The sequence below is a fragment of the Homo sapiens genome, chromosome X, assembly GCF_000001405.40.
Source record: "Homo sapiens chromosome X, GRCh38.p14 Primary Assembly".
NCBI lineage: Eukaryota > Metazoa > Chordata > Mammalia > Primates > Hominidae > Homo > Homo sapiens.
In genome coordinates, this window is record NC_000023.11 from 77,441,809 (window position 1) to 77,457,496 (window position 15,688).

General features: G+C 46.3%; 1 protein-coding gene across 1 annotated transcript, besides 2 other annotated features; it reads left to right on the plus strand.

Annotated features, from left to right (window-relative positions):
* Positions 4,479 to 4,668: an enhancer, noted in NCBI's record as "active region_29778". NCBI's record gives its function as "activates an Ori minimal core promoter by ATAC-STARR-seq in GM12878 lymphoblastoid cells {active_cell/tissue: GM12878}" and the evidence as "EXISTENCE:reporter gene assay evidence [ECO:0000049][PMID:35858748]".
* On the plus strand, positions 5,581 to 15,470 carry FGF16 (fibroblast growth factor 16). The gene is made up of 3 exons (NM_003868.3): positions 5,581 to 6,140; positions 12,349 to 12,452; positions 14,469 to 15,470. The coding sequence occupies exons 1-3, from the start codon at positions 5,867 to 5,869 to the stop codon at positions 14,712 to 14,714; spliced, it is 624 nt and encodes a 207-aa protein (NP_003859.1). The 5' UTR covers positions 5,581 to 5,866; the 3' UTR covers positions 14,715 to 15,470.
* Positions 6,614 to 7,115: an enhancer, noted in NCBI's record as "H3K4me1 hESC enhancer chrX:76703913-76704414 (GRCh37/hg19 assembly coordinates)". NCBI's record gives its function as "activates a minimal SCP1, AML or CMV promoter by ChIP-STARR-seq in naive H9 embryonic stem cells {active_cell/tissue: H9 hESC(naive)}" and the evidence as "EXISTENCE:reporter gene assay evidence [ECO:0000049][PMID:30033119]".

Genomic DNA, 15,688 nt, shown 5'->3' on the forward strand with positions numbered 1-15,688 from the left:
CCACATTCATATCACACACATCAGGTTGAGCAGTGATCCCAGTTGCCAGGGTTAGAGCCACATTCCATGGTGTTCCATTCCTCTCAAAGAACTAACAGATCATTTCACAAAAATATCATCACCTGCCAACTAATGTCAAGTTACAGCCAGAATTAATGGTACATTACCCACCCCCATTACAGGTAGGCTCACAGGAGAATGACACCAGAGACAAAAGAGATTTGTGGCTCAGTGTCACTGCAGGAGACTGACCAGACAGGTAAGATGGGGGGCTTGTCCCAGCCAAAGAGGTTTCCTTTCCTCTCTGGGCCCTAGAATTGGGGGTGGGAAAGTAGTCTGACTTTTCGCAGACTTCTCAAACTCTAGATACAGATCACCTAGGTTAAAAAAAAAATAAGAAAAAGACTGCTCCTTTCTTTATTTTTATTTTTTTCCAACTTTTATTTTAGTTTCAGAGGGTACACGTGCGGGCTTGTTACATAGGCAAATTGCATGTCATGGGGGTTTGGTGTACAGATTATTTCATCACCCAGGTAATAAGCATAGTACCCGATAGGTAGTTTTTTAGTCCTCACCCTCCTCCCACCCTCCACCCTCCACCCTCCACCTTCAAGTAGGCCCTGGTAAGACTCCTCTTTTAACATGGATTTTTTTTTTTTTTCCAGAAGATGATTGGGTCATGTTATGCTACTTTTTCTTTTGAATAAGACCCCAACTACTTCAGAAAAGTGTAGTGATCAACAGCATGGTCTCTAGAGCCGGATGACAGGTCTGAATTTCAGCCCCATCACATACTAGTTGTATGACCTTGAGCAAGTTATTTAACCTCTTTAGCCCTCAGTTTCACAGATCTGTTAAAAATCGGGATAATAATAGCATCTTCCTCGTGGTGGTATGATGTGATTTAAATTTAAAGCTCTTAGAAAAGTGCCTGGCCCTTAAGAGGCTCAATAAATGGAATTATACAAAGGAGTAATTTCCTGTTTTTCCCAGGCCTTCACTACCTCACTACCTGCTTGCCCACCCACAGCTGACAATGTGGTCACCCTGTTTCTGAGTCACGCCTTCTAGAGCCCAGAGAGAACAAGACTGGCCCAATATCACACAGAAAGATTAATAGGATTGGAATTGATTGCTTTGGGGTGACTCAGCAGGCCAGTGGCCAGTGTTCTTATCTACTTCATCTCCTCCTTAGGAAAAAATGAGCATAGTTAGAGGAAACCTTGGGAGGAAATATGGCTGGGGCCAGGCAGGATGTAAATAATATTAAGAACAATGACAACTTAATATGTGCCAGGCACAGCTTTAAGTACTTTCTGTGTATTTTATTCAAACCTCACAGCAACCCTATGAATTGATAACTACCATCATCACCTGCATCATACCTAAGAGAAAACTGAGGCTCCAACACCTAGAATGGCTTAAAGCTGGGGTTATGAACCCAGGCAGTCTAACACCAGAGATGGAGTGTTCAACCACTACACTATACTGCTTTCCACATAAAGCAAAGAAAACAGAAGGAGAGAGGAGGCAGGAACAAAAGACAATGGAGCGATACAAGTTCTTTTTGAAGTAAGTTGATTGAGGCAGTCTAGTGTTTTGGTTAAGCACTAATTTAAGACCAAGGTTTAAAAAGTAACTGGGTTTAAGGCTTGCCTCTGCTACTAGTTATTGATTTTCTTTGGACCTTAGCTTCCTCATCTGTAAAATGGATTTCATAGGCCAGGCGTGATGGTTCACATCTGTAATCCCAGCACTTTGGGAGGCCAAGGCAGGAGGATTGCTTGAGGCCAGGAGTTTGAGACCAGCCTGGGCAACATAGTGAGACCTCATCTCTACAAAAAACAATTGTTTTTTAATTAACTGGGCGTGGCGGTACCTGCTTGTAGTCCTAGATACTCAGGAGGCTGAGGTGAGAGGATCTCTAGAGACCAGGAGTTCAAGGCTATACAGGGAGCCATGATTGTGCCACAGCACTCTAGCCTGAGTGACAAAGTGAGATCCTGTCTCTAAAAAAGTAAATAAATAAAAATAAAATAAAATAATTAAAAACTAACTAGTATTTCTTAGAGTTGTGATAAGGTTTACAGAAGATAATGCACATAACATGCCAAGGGCAGTACTTAACACACCTACATAAGTACTCAGTAAGAGCAACTAATGTCATTGGTTATTCCACCTTCAGGATTTGCCTAGCTATACAGCTCCCCCTGCCCGTTCCCAGGGAATACCAATTAGGAAGGAAAAAAATTGTAAATTGTCCAGAAAATGAAGAACTGGGCAGAGTAACAGTTCTAGACATCCTTTCCCATCTCTCAGGGGTATGTGTGGGCATGGGGTGGGGGGTGGTTAGCGAGCACCAGCATTATTAGCATCACTGTCTCCTTTCTCAAGGAACAGAGCCTGCCAGATTATCCCCCAGCCTTTGGTTGCTTATAGACTGAGTCAGAACTCTTTTTTTCCTTCAGTTTTGTTTTTCCACATCCTTTTCACATCAACCCTGTGAGGTATTGGGAAAGGAGGAAGTAATCTCAAATGTGTTAAATGTCTTCCATGTGGTGGACACAATGCTGGCACTTTCCATCAGTGCCCAATACCTCACAATACCACTGTGAAGGGATGCACTTATCCTCACTTTATAAATGATGTCCTGAATCCAGGGAAGGTTTGCTTTCTTTATTAACGTACATTTTCCTCTCATCCGATATATTCAATACTACTCTGGTCTGAGGTTGCATCCTGCTGAGGATTTTCCGTAAACTAAACTATAGGGAAATTTCACTGTCCTCAACATGCCAATCTTTGCATAATCCTAAATCCCATGAGTTGAGAATAATTTGCCACCAGTGGAGCTGAGATCAATTTATGACTCTGCTATTTACTTGTTAGGATTCTGTACTAGTCACTTAACCTCCCCCTCTATTTCCTCATTTCTAATATGGGGATAATGACAACTTCTGCTCCATGAGGTTGTGAAAATAAAATAACTTCCTTGAAAGTGCTCTGTCAACTGAGATGCTTGACATGGAAACATTATTTAAAACAGAACCATCAGATCGCTTAATCTCAAAAGAGCCCCAGATGGGCAATGGAATACCTGTATCTCTGACCTTCGATCAAGTAGGACTCCAGATTTGCCAACTGCGGTTGGCGACTTTGGGAATGTTGGGGGACAGAGAATGCAGAAATACCCTGAAGTGGCTGTTGAGGAAATGATCTTTGCCATAATCAGTGTGTAATCTATATCATCATGGAGACATCTAAATCTTTTATATAACATGCTTCTCAAAGCAGTTTCATTTATACTATTTCATGTGGCACTCAATACTCATTTGAGGTACTGAGCACTGATGGAAAGTGCCCAGCATTGTGTCCACCACATGGAAGACACTTAACACATTTGAGATTAAATTAAAATTGTTCCACTTGCTTCGTTACAACTTTCCTCTTCCCGCAAGTGGTTCATCTGAATTTGCAAAATCCTTCCCATCTTCCCTTTGGGGCCCATTCATTACAAAGGACACCTTAGTCCAGAACCAGGCCCTAAACCTCCAGATGAGTCTTTCTGAATCCACACAGCACTGTGCACTTGACACTGTCTTGTACTCCAGTCATTTATGTACTTGTCTTAACCTCTTCCCTTCCTTTTCCACCTTCCCACTAAATTCAAAAACTCTTTGAAGAAGGAAGAAAGAAGAAAGATTGATTTCTTTGTATTTCACCAACCTAATAGTTGCTTTATGTCAGTCTCATTTTATAAAGCTTTTAATTATGGAAATTTTCATATGTAATTTCATATATATATATAAAGTATAATTAAACACCAATATACCCCTCACCCAGCTTAACAATTAGCGACACAAGGACAATAATCGCATCTATACCTCCACTCCTTCTGCCTTCTTACTTTGAATAATTTAATAGCAAATCCCAGACAGCGTATGATTTCATCCATAAATACTTCAATATGAATGACACTTTCTGCATTTCTGTGTCCCCTACAATTGGAAGATGACTTGCATCTATGTCCGCTGCTACTGGGAGCACCTCAGATTATTTCTGAGTGTGCCTATTATGTGCCGCATCTTGTGCTTGGCTTCAGAGGTTCTGTCTGAGCTGCAGAGGCACAACAGTACCAAGCCACAATACTCCCAAACGAGAATTGCTACGGTTCCAGGGGAGTGAGCTCAGGGTGCACGTGGGAGCCCAGGAGTAGGACCCTGAATTGCACTAAGTGAATTGAGCGGAATCGGTTTTCTCATCTCATGGTGACCCTGAGTTCAAAGTTGCCACGAGACTAGGGGTCGCCAGCAGGAGGCGCTGCAAAGAGAGGGGATGGCGCGGGGCTCCCTGTGTTCAGTTTCTCCTGAGGGAGCCTGGGAAGGCAGCCATCGCCGGCTGCGGGTGAAAACCAAGTAACAACACCCTTTCACAGGCGATCGGGACGCCGAGTGCCAGGGCCCAATAGGTGCCCCAGGATTCAGGTTCGGGGCACAGGTGCAGGGGTGCAGGGCAGGTCTGGCACCTGCTCCCCAGGACTTCTGGACGCTGCCCGTTGACCTGGCTGCCGCCGGTTCCTGTCCCAACTGCCGCTCTTCCTGATAGAATATCTCGGAGCAAGGCACTGGACAGAACGAGGAAACACCTGTTTCCAACAAGAAACGAGGTAGGGGGGAAGCCCCCACCAGGCTTCCAATGGCCTCTCATTGAGCTTGCTCTCGAGAGCCTCTTAAAAGCGCGCCCAGAAAGCCAGCGGAGATCATTTTTCAAAAAGATCGCTTTCTATTTCTTACTCCCCCTCTCCTTTTCCTAAGCCTAAGCTGTAACGTCTCTTTCTTTAAAAAAATAAAAATTCATCTTTCCTCTGAGGGGTTTCCCGCTCCTCTCAGACCCCGTAAGGCCCTCCCCTTGGAATCTGCAAGGACCACCACCCCCAACCCCAAATTTTGCAACTGCATTGGCTTCCAGGTTTTTCACTTCCTCGGTACCCCGCCAACCTATACAGGTAGGAATTAGGACTTGGGGGCCGTGGAACAAAGAAACCAGGGAGTCCCTGTCCCGGGTCAGATGCCCTTTCCGCAGCCTCCGACCAACTGGGGAACAAGAGGAGATCAGGAGCATGTGAACCCCCCAACTCCCGTCTCATGGCACTTTCCAAAGGCTAGCACAGCAGCCCGAGGACGCGTGGGAGGTGGGGACAGCCCCCGGGCAGCAGACAGACAGACCCCCACGGAACAGGCCTTGAGTGGCCGTGCGCGCCAGCGGCCTCCACGCACTGGGCTCTGTTATTTCATCAGCAGTTTCAGAAGAACCTGCCAAAAGCAGTTATGCCTCACTGCAATGTGTAGCTTTTTCCTGCCATTTTTTCATAATAAAAGAGGGAGTGAAGCTCGCTCGCTCTCTCCCTCCACCCCCCTCTCCCAAAAAGAGCCAAATGGATGCAAGAAAAAAAAAAAAAAAAGAACCCACACACCAATCTCCGAGGGGATGCCAATGAGGTGTGGCTTGTATTTAAATATCCAATATGTCAATGTAAGGGGAGTGGGTATGTATATAAAGTGCCGTTTGCATCTGATAGCTGGACGAAGCCAGCTATGAGAGGCCGGGGGAGATGGATGCGGAGGGGAAGAGGCACTTTGACTGAGAGCAAGGTCAGGAGCACGCTGCCCCGCGCTCCCCGCCACTGAGAAGTTCCTTGGACGCGAACAGACGTCGACTGCAGCTCGGCAGAGCGCGGAGCAAGCGAGCTAGCGAGGGAGCGCCGCCGAACCGCCCGCGCCCGCTGCGGGGAGAGGCAGTTCGCGCCCCGTGGCCCCGGCTCGGCCCGCGCGCGCCCAGCACAACCAGCGCCGCAATCGGCCCAGCCATGGCAGAGGTGGGGGGCGTCTTCGCCTCCTTGGACTGGGATCTACACGGCTTCTCCTCGTCTCTGGGGAACGTGCCCTTAGCTGACTCCCCAGGTTTCCTGAACGAGCGCCTGGGCCAAATCGAGGGGAAGCTGCAGCGTGGCTCACCCACAGACTTCGCCCACCTAAAGGGGATCCTGCGGCGCCGCCAGCTCTACTGCCGCACCGGCTTCCACCTGGAGATCTTCCCCAACGGCACGGTGCACGGGACCCGCCACGACCACAGCCGCTTCGGTGAGGACGCGGTCGGGGGAACGGGAGGCGGGCGGACGGCGCACTGGGGAGCCCACAGCTCCGGGCTCAGGCGTAGGGCCCGCAGACCGCCCCCGGGCTTGGTGTCGTCCGGGCCAGTCGAGGCGAGACACGACGGCGCGGTCGTGGGCCTCTCGACATCAGGGGGCCCTGCACCCTCGGACACTTTCAGGTGGGGGCGGGGGCGCCTTGCGGTGGGGCCTCTCCTTTCGCCGCTCCACAGTATCTCCCCAGGGAGCAAGGGGGTAGTTCTGGGAGCTGGACTCTAAGCCTTGAATGAAAGCAGGTGGAGCTGAGACAGGGGTGGGAGCTCTCGCCTAGGAGGCCGGGACCGTGGCTGCAGCGCGGGCCGAGCCTCGAAGGCAGCAGGGCTGTGGCAGCTGATTTCCTGGAACAGGATCCTGCATGGGCCGTGGGCATGTGAGGCGGTCGGCCGGCACACAAATCGCTTTTGGCCCGTGGGTACCAGGCAGCTGTGGCCTCCGCCTGCCTTGGGGTCGCTCTGTCCAGGGTAGGAGACAATCCAGGCAGCCTGGCACGAATTGGGAATCTAGGAAAACCTCGCGGTGTCCACCGTGTAAGGGCACAAGTCCTGGGGCAGCTTTTGCCGGAAACTACCTCTGGACTCCTTGCCTCAGTGAGGAAACCGTCCTGGGCCCACTCCCAGTCCCAGAAACAGTTGTCTCTTGGGCCCAAAGCAGGAAACGTTCAACCTCCATCCAGGATTGTCTGTTTGCCTGCCACTATACAAACTGTTCAACACAGCTGCCTGTCTCACATATAGAACTAATTACACAATTAATATAAGCCTTGATCTGAGACAAAGATCATTAGGTTTCTAAGCAAATGTGTTCGCTCCTCGGTAATTTGCCATTTTTATTTTCAATTTCCAATTCTATACTAAGACATCATGGGGGGTTCTGTGACAGCTACCTTTGCCCCTCCGCATCCTCCAATGTCCTCTGCTTCCTCCCAAGGACCCTATAATCCAAGAAAGACACCTTTTCCCCAAGCCAGTAAGATGTTCTGCCTACACTCAGACATGACACCCTTCCCTTCTTTTTCCCACCCTCCTTCTTGCCAACATCTGCCCCAAACCCCCCAAACCTCTCCATCCTCCTATTCTCCATGCCTTGCTAGAGCTGCATCTGGAGTGCACAGCAAAAAGGGGAACATAGGGGCCAGTGCGGGGTAAGGCCAAGCCTAGCAAACAACTTAGGGGCAGGGTTGGTCTTCCTTGCTGGGAACAGGCAGAAACCCTAATGAGGTCTATGGTATCTTGGAAAAATGCACTCAAACATAGCTAGAGTACAGTAGGTTGGGAGGGGTAATGGAGGGGTGCAGGTGTCTGTATAAACTTGCAGCAGGTCCTCAAAAGGGTGATAAGGTGGAGTGGGAGGAGAGGGAGTGTTAACTTGGCTCCTTTCCCTTTCATTGCTTGTGATTTTGCAGTCCCCTTTTGTTCCTCTTCTTAAGGAATAGGACTCCCACACTGGCCTCAGAGGCTTCCTGAAATGGCATAAAGATACCAGAGTAACTCATTGCCGATATGTAACCAAAAAAAAAGATCATGAAATGATGGAGAGATGTGGGGTGGGGGTAGCGAAAGTGGAAAAATTATGAGCACACCTCCCAGCAGCTCCAAATATTTTTCTGATTTTGTGCCTAAGCTGAGCCCAGTAACCTACAAGGTCAACATAAATCAGTAATAGGCTCTTGGGATAAGTGGTCTTTAATTACCTCCCTAAAGACACATCTTGATTTCTTTTCATTTCCCAGGTCTGCTAAGGGTGTTAAGTTTAAGGAGAAACCAAAGGAAATAAGATTGGCAGGAGGAAGGGACATTTTCACTGCTGCTTAACTGACTGCTTCATTTTTGGTTTTGCCTTTGAAAAAGAAAACAACACTGGCTAAGAGCACCTCTGCATCACCTTTTCCTTTTCCTCCTTCCCTGACTTCCTGTCACTTTCCTGCACTTCCTGTAAAGAAAATGATAACTGGCCAAAGCTGTCTCTTTGTAACCTTCCCTGCCAACTTTAAAACACATACTCTTTCTCAGTTTAGCTTTTGGCACAGAAAGAGGTGGCGTTCAAGTTTGCTAACTCTTTCCTCCCTCCACATTTGAGTTAATCAGCCAGGGTATTCAATAAATTGAAACTTTAACATTCCATAAGTGCTTTAGCAGTCAACATTCCAGCAGGGTAAAGTAGGCCAGACTTAAGATATAAAATATTATAGATTTCTGCTAGGGGGGAAGAGGTAGTCTCCAAAAGCCATGTGAAGTAAATAGCTATTTGTTGTAATTGGAGAGCAGGGCCCCCAAGGATTACCCTGGAATCCATGTGTTCAGAACAAGTCAGGCTAAGCCCAAGAGCAGTCCCGACTCCAAATAATAACCTGTTGGCACAGCATATGCTCTCCGCTCTCCATCTGCAATCAGTAGCCAGGAGTATTTCAATCACCGCCTGGCTGGTAGCATTTATATGAAGTTCACAAGGATACTGACATTCCGAGGGGCACCTGTGGACTGGCAGAGCAGAGCTTGGGAGCCAAACTGAAGGAGAGTCCTCCCACCAGGTGGGATGGAGTGGGCTCATGCAGCTGCCTTGGTTCTTGAGTGATCTGGTTCTCATTTGGCAAGATGCCAAAGCAGCACTGTCTCGGCCCCAAAGGTCTGACAGGATGGCTGAAGGATTCAGGCAAGTTATGGAACTAGATTAAATGACACATTAGACAGTCATCTAGCTAGGTTCTGAAGCAGTGGGGCCCAGAACAGATCAGTTTTGACTGAGGGCCTGGGGAGAGAGGTATAAGAAGTGTCTGGAAATTGTCAAGAAAAGGGCAGAGCCTGATGTGGGCAGGTCAAGATGAGGCAGAGTAGAGAGAGGTCCTGGGCCTTGAAGGGGTAAGAGTACTGAGGACAAACTTTGTCTACTTAATACTTCACCTCAACACTTTGCTGTTAACACCCCTGTCCAGCTGTAGCTGGGAAAATATGAAAATGGCTTATTTTCTCTCCCCCTTCATGCTGGCTGGGATTCAGGAGAAGGTTTAGGAATATCTCTTCCATCATCATGTGCCACTGGGTTCCCACAGTTTGAAACCAGCTAATAGGAAAGTTGGCGAGGGAAAATGATGCCCAAAGACAGCTGGGCAGGGATAATTCCAGCTGTTGGAGACCCCTGTTACTGGACACAACCCAAGTGACTTCCTGTATGATCTGTCCTTTGGCATCAGGGTTAACAGAGAGTTGGAGAAAAACTGTGGTGACTCAAATGGCCACACCTCTTGGGTTTCATGATTTGTTCTCACACTATGTCTTGGGCAGTGAGATCACAAGCTGTGCTCTGCTACTTAATGAGCTCAGGGTTGTCAGAGACATGAGATACTTACAGAATGAGGGAACTCAGACTTGAAGCTCAGGAGTAACCTGCCTGAGCAAAGCAAAGAACTAAAGGCTCCCACGTTAGTGTCCCTCAGAGTTTAGGACCCAGAACTGAATCATGACCTGGTTTCTAGTTTCCTTTCCATACTGGGCACTCTCCTTTGAACATGCTCTGTTTTTCCATTTTCTTCTCTAAGCACAGTAGAACTAAACACACCATTCTCAGTGTGGTCTAACCATGGCAGAGCAGAGTGGGACAATCCTCCCTCCCTTTTGTTAGTTACCAGACCTGTATCAGTGAGGCCTTAGATCACACTAGCTTTTTTTCTATTTTTTCCACTAGCTTTCTAATTTTTAATTTTACATGACCAATTGTACATTAGCTTTTTAATAATCCTGCTAATCACCCATCATACTGAGTTTGCCTTGTTCAATTAAGTCTCTTAGCCATTGTTGTGTTTTACTAAGCCACATTTCCCCATTGCAGAGATGGGTAGACTTGCGTGTAATTAAAATGCACAAGAACACAAAATAACAATACACATTTTCAAGAAAATATACATGGTTGCCTGAAGTGGAGGGGCAGATGGGAGCAGGGTATGAAGAGAAAAAGAAAGAAATAAATAGATAATTATAAAGCCCTTGCACAGACCAACTATGTTAATAGGACATGATCTAAGCAGTACAGCTAACTCAACTGTCTGCACTTGAGGCTCACCCTCCCCCAACCAAACCCCAAACACAAAACACTTTGGTAAATTTGGGAGACCAAAGTGCAGGACTTCACATTGATTCTAATTAAGCATAGTTTGCTGGAGCCACTCCATTTTTCCATCCTCTTGAAATCTCTTTGGATATTGATTGTGTCATCCCTCTCAGCTGTACGTCTTCTAGAACTAGGATAAGCGGTCCTCATATGTTCTCTTACAAGTCATTTATTGAAATATCAAACGGAGCAGAACCAAATGCAAAACGTTGTGCAGTGCAGCTGAAGATTTGGTTGCATTAAATCAGTGTCTGATTAACCCTTACTTGGCACTGGGTATTTTCTCTTCCCCTCCTACCGTCTTGTCTCAATCTCATTTCCCGAGACTCCTTTCTTTGTACTGTAAAATTTAATAGCAACCAGACTGAGAATAAAACTTGGAGGATTTCAGTGTGAGAGGCCAAAGGCCAAACCCTGAGTGTTCTATAGAATTGCAGCAGAATAACCTTACATCCTTCCAAAAGATCTGGGTGGGTTGTGGAAGCACATGCCCCCAAAGCTGCCATACCTGAACAGCAGCCCACCAACTTGAGTCACTGGGGTTCCTCAGGAGACTTCCCAGTAGAGTTTTAACCTGATTTTAAAATTAGCCGCTTAAAATTCTTGATCTTGGAAAATCAGCTCTACTCCCTATATAGATTACATAGAATATTATTACCCTTAAGAATTGCATTTTTGGGCCAGGCACAGTGGTGCATGCCTGTAATCCCAACACTTTGGGAGGCCAAGGTGTGCAGATTGCTTGAGCCCAGGAGTTTGAGAACAGCCTTAGCAACATGGTGAAACCTTGTCTCTAGAAAAAATAAAAAATTAGCTGGGTGTGGTGATGCGTGCATGTAGTCCCAGCTACGAGGGAGGCTGAGGTGGGATGACCACCTGAGCCTGGGGAGGTTGAGGCTGCAGTGAGCCATGATCACACCACTGCACTCCAACCTGGGTGCCAAAGTGAGATCCTGTCTCAAAAAACAAACAAACAAAAAAACAGAATTGCAATTTTGGATAAGAAAGACAGCCAGATATGAGCTCATTTCATACCTTGGATGACTTAAACAAGTTTTTGGTCTGTATGTTGAGAAATGTGATTACAGGCAGGAATATCAAAGAGGAATCTAGTTGACTATTATGTCTGTATCTAGATAATAGACGTACTATCTTGGGACAAAATTGTAGTCTTCAGTACCACCAGGATTTCAGTTCTGGGTCCTTTTTCTCACTTAGGACTGCTGCTGGGTAAATGAAAGCATTTTCAAATCTTCACCTCTAATATTGTCCGCTAGGAGGACATTTCTGAATTTCTTCTCTTTGGCCTTAAAGTTACAACATCTCAAATCAGTATTGAGTCCAATACCACCTGCCAACTCTTTGCTGTGGATAAACTTAAAATTCTCAAAAGAGAATGATAGGCTTGTCAGCTTGGGGCTGTACTAGCTGAGAATGCTTTTTAGGAGAAAGCTCTCATGTGGCCAAGTTTTGCCTCCTGCCATAAGCAGGGGGAACAAACAGTGAGTGGCCTGTGTGACCTTTGTTAGAGTCAGCTACAGGCAGTTGACGGCCTCATGTGGCTTTAAGGACATGGGGGCTGACAGGGCACAAAACAAGTTCAGCCTAGAGGACAGCAAGGTAATGCTGCGTGCTCTAAGGAAGAGGGAGGTTACAGGGAAAGATACAGAAACCTGTCCTTCTTGCATTTAGAAAACTTCCCGTTTCTTGAATTTGAGAGCAATAGCACCTTGCAATTATGGAGCTTTTGTAGCCAAAGCCTTCTCATGGTCTCTTCCTCATAATATGCCTAAGAGTGTTGAGTAGAAGCAGAGATGGTGTCCCCCGTTTTACATATGGAAAAACTGAGGCCCAAAGAGACTAAGTACCTTCTCTGAGGTTCCATTCTTGCCGCAAAAGATGGTTTCATCAGGCATTTTATCAAAGGCACACAGGGCTGGCCTCCAGTTGGGGACAAATGACTGGTAGCTCATGTCACCTGAACAGCTTTCTCTTAGTTTGATGCTGGTAATGGGAATAGTGTTCACTTTTTGCCCTAGGAATCCTGGAGTTTATCAGCCTGGCTGTGGGGCTGATCAGCATCCGGGGAGTGGACTCTGGCCTGTACCTAGGAATGAATGAGCGAGGAGAACTCTATGGGTCGGTAAGTTTAAGGTTTTTTTTTTTTTTTTTTTTTTTTTTTTTTGGTCAGAGGTTATTACAACCAGTGTTTGGACAATGTAAAGCAAAAGTATAAAAATATTTATCTGGGGACCAGGCATGGTGGCTCACGCCTGTAATCCCAGCACTTTGGGAGGCTGAGGTGGGCGGATCACAAGGTGAGGAGTTCAAGACCAGCCTGGCCAACATGGTGAAACTCCATCTCTACTAAAAATAAAAAATAAAAAATTAGCCGGGCATGCTGGCATGCACCTGTAATCCCAGCTACTCAGGAGGCTGAGGCAGGAGAATCACTTGAACCTGGGAGGCAGAGGTTGCAGTGAGCCGAGATTGCGCCACTGCACTCCAGCCTGGGCAACAGAGTGAGACTCCATCTCAAAAAAAAAAGAAATTTATCTAGCACTTGAAAGCCCTTTTTTAGCTGTAAAGGAGTAGTGTCTTCTAGTTACTTCTTGGCTGCTCAGGGTCTTGCTACATAACACCTTCACTCATTTGGCCCCCACCAAAACAAGCTTTTTTTTTTTTTTTTTTTGCTTTGAGATGGAGTCTTACACTGTTGCCCAGGCTGGAGTGCAGTGGCGCAACCTCAGCTCACTGCAACCTCCACCTCCCCTGTTCAAGTGATTCTCTTGCCTCAGCCTCCCGAGTAGCTGGGACTACAGGCATGCACCACCATGCCAGGCTAATTTTTTGTATTTTTTGGTAAAGACTGGGTTTCACCATGTTGGCCAGGCTGGTCTCGAACTCCTGACCTCAAGTGATCCACCCGCCTTGGCCTCCCAAAGTGCTGGGATTACAGGCATGAGCCACTGCACCCGGCCCCAAAACATAAGCTTTTCTCTGATACATGTGATTTTGCCTTTTTCATTAGAAGGCCAGCTAGTCTGATGATAACAGTAACCTGTGCTGGTTTGGCAGTAGATGGTCAGGGTTTGGGGCATTAACCCTCCAGGGGAGTACATCTGAATTTGAATGTGTACCCAGAGGAGTAGCAGACTAGCAGGAACAAAAATAGGCAGTGGAAGAGCTGGCTTTCAAATTGAGGATTCTGAGGTTAACAACACAGTCCCTGATTTCCAGATTGCTTCAGCTGAGTCCCAAAGGCCAAATGAAACAAACAAATGAAGAATGAGGGTTCCAGGGTCTGGTGACAGCCTTAAGCCCTCAGCTAGGACTAGGCTAGCGGCAGTGCATTTTCTCTATTCTGGAAGCTAGCCTAGCACTGAGGAATGGTGAGTGATTTACTGACCTTAACCCTTCCAGGGGATCCCAACTCCTGGCTCTGGCTTTTAAGTCACATAGCATACTTTCTGGCTGCCTGCACCCCATGAAATCAGAACACATTTTTCCATGACACCTAAGAGATAGGCCTGTCCCCAGCACTCAGTATTGGCAACTCCAGCAAGTAGTATGGCGGTTGGATCAAGTGTGAGAAGGGACAGAGGCAAGAGACCCAGGAACTGCCAGCCTGAAGTAGCCAGATTGGAAGAGCTTTTCAAGGAGATCTTTTCTGAGCTTTCAGACTGACAGGCCTGAGACCCTTCATTAGGAGAGATCACAGCTCACCTCCCATGGAGCTTTATATAGATCCGAGGCCTTTGCCTGTTAGTTGACATGGTTGACTGTAATCTCAATGAATTTGAACATCATTAGCTCTAAGTAGGGAGAAAGCTCAGTGGGTACCAGCAGGGCATTGGGAGGCCATAGCAGCAATTCTCAGGCTCAGAGAGCCAGGTGATGCCATCTCCTCCAATCTCCTCCCTTCAGGAAAGATTTCAACTAAAACATTTCTGTGTAACTCATGAAAGAGAATGAAGGAGATACAGACAAGAGTGTTTTGTGCTATTTGGAAGAAAGTTACCTCCAGTAATACAGAGAGATAGGACTGGAATTTTCTAACATCAATGTGCTATTGCTATTTCAGGGTTTCTCTACTAGCAAGCTGGGATAGGAGAAATAGTCATATAATGGGTTCTGCTTTATTTTCTCACCCTCACAGAAGAAACTCACACGTGAATGTGTTTTCCGGGAACAGTTTGAAGAAAACTGGTACAACACCTATGCCTCAACCTTGTACAAACATTCGGACTCAGAGAGACAGTATTACGTGGCCCTGAACAAAGATGGCTCACCCCGGGAGGGATACAGGACTAAACGACACCAGAAATTCACTCACTTTTTACCCAGGCCTGTAGATCCTTCTAAGTTGCCCTCCATGTCCAGAGACCTCTTTCACTATAGGTAATGAACCTCTGGTGTGCCCTCTGTGACCCATGTACCCTGGGGCCACGGTTGTCTCTGCAAGCACTATATTCATAGCTTTTCAATCCTTCCTTCCTATCATTTTAGATAACAGAAAAGCACTTACTGTTGAACTCAACCCAGCTGTTCCCTTGTTGTTCAAAGTGTATATCAAGGTTGGGTTATTTTGGGGAGGGATGGGGGGCTGGGCTCGAGGGAATCTTGTATATACTTTTTTCTTTACTCATGTTCCTTCCCCTGAGGTAGCATAACAAAGAATGGGAGCCCCTGCTAAGGGCCAGGGGTGTCTTACCCCACAATTTACTCAAATACCTTGACAATGGGTATAAATGAAAGGCCAAGGAATCTGCCACAGATGCTACCTACAGAGCTTTGGAAAAGTCTCATTAAGAAAATCCTTGGGGCTACAGCCTTGCTGCAAGCCTTCCCTGCATTGGCTCTGCAGATTTCTCATCTGTCCTGACATGCAGTTTTCCTGTCATTGGAAGTGGGAGATGGGGTAGGTTGTAAGAAAATGATATTAAAATGTAAGCATGGATACTGTGCATAAGGACAAACTATTTATAAAATGTATATGCTATTTATTTTATATATTTATTTATTTCAAAATAATAATTTTATTTTTAATGAGAGATGCGATGGCTGGATTTTCATCAGAAAGAATAAGGTCCTACTGAAACAGGATAAAATGAGTTATTAAAGGCTTTTACTGACAATAAAATTTGTCTTTATATTGTAAGATTCTGTCTAATTCTATTGATTTGTACATTTAGTAGGGTTAGAAGGTTGGCCAGCTTCTTTCTCTCCAACTCATTAGAATTTTCTGATATTGGCATCACACTGCCTATGCTAGATGACTCCATCAGCCAATATGTTAGCATTATCTAGAGGCCTTATGTGAAGTCCTAGTGGTCCTTTCCAGTTCTATGACTTTAAACATACAGGTGAATCAAAGCT

Coding starts and splice junctions, on each gene's coding strand:
- FGF16 (NM_003868.3), top strand. CDS start 5,867: ATGGCAGAGGTGGGGGGCGTCTTCGCCTCCTTGGACTGGGATCTACAC. Junction 6,141..12,348: donor CCACGACCACAGCCGCTTCG/GTGAGGACGCGG, acceptor TTTTTGCCCTAG/GAATCCTGGAGTTTATCAGC. Junction 12,453..14,468: donor GAGGAGAACTCTATGGGTCG/GTAAGTTTAAGG, acceptor TCACCCTCACAG/AAGAAACTCACACGTGAATG.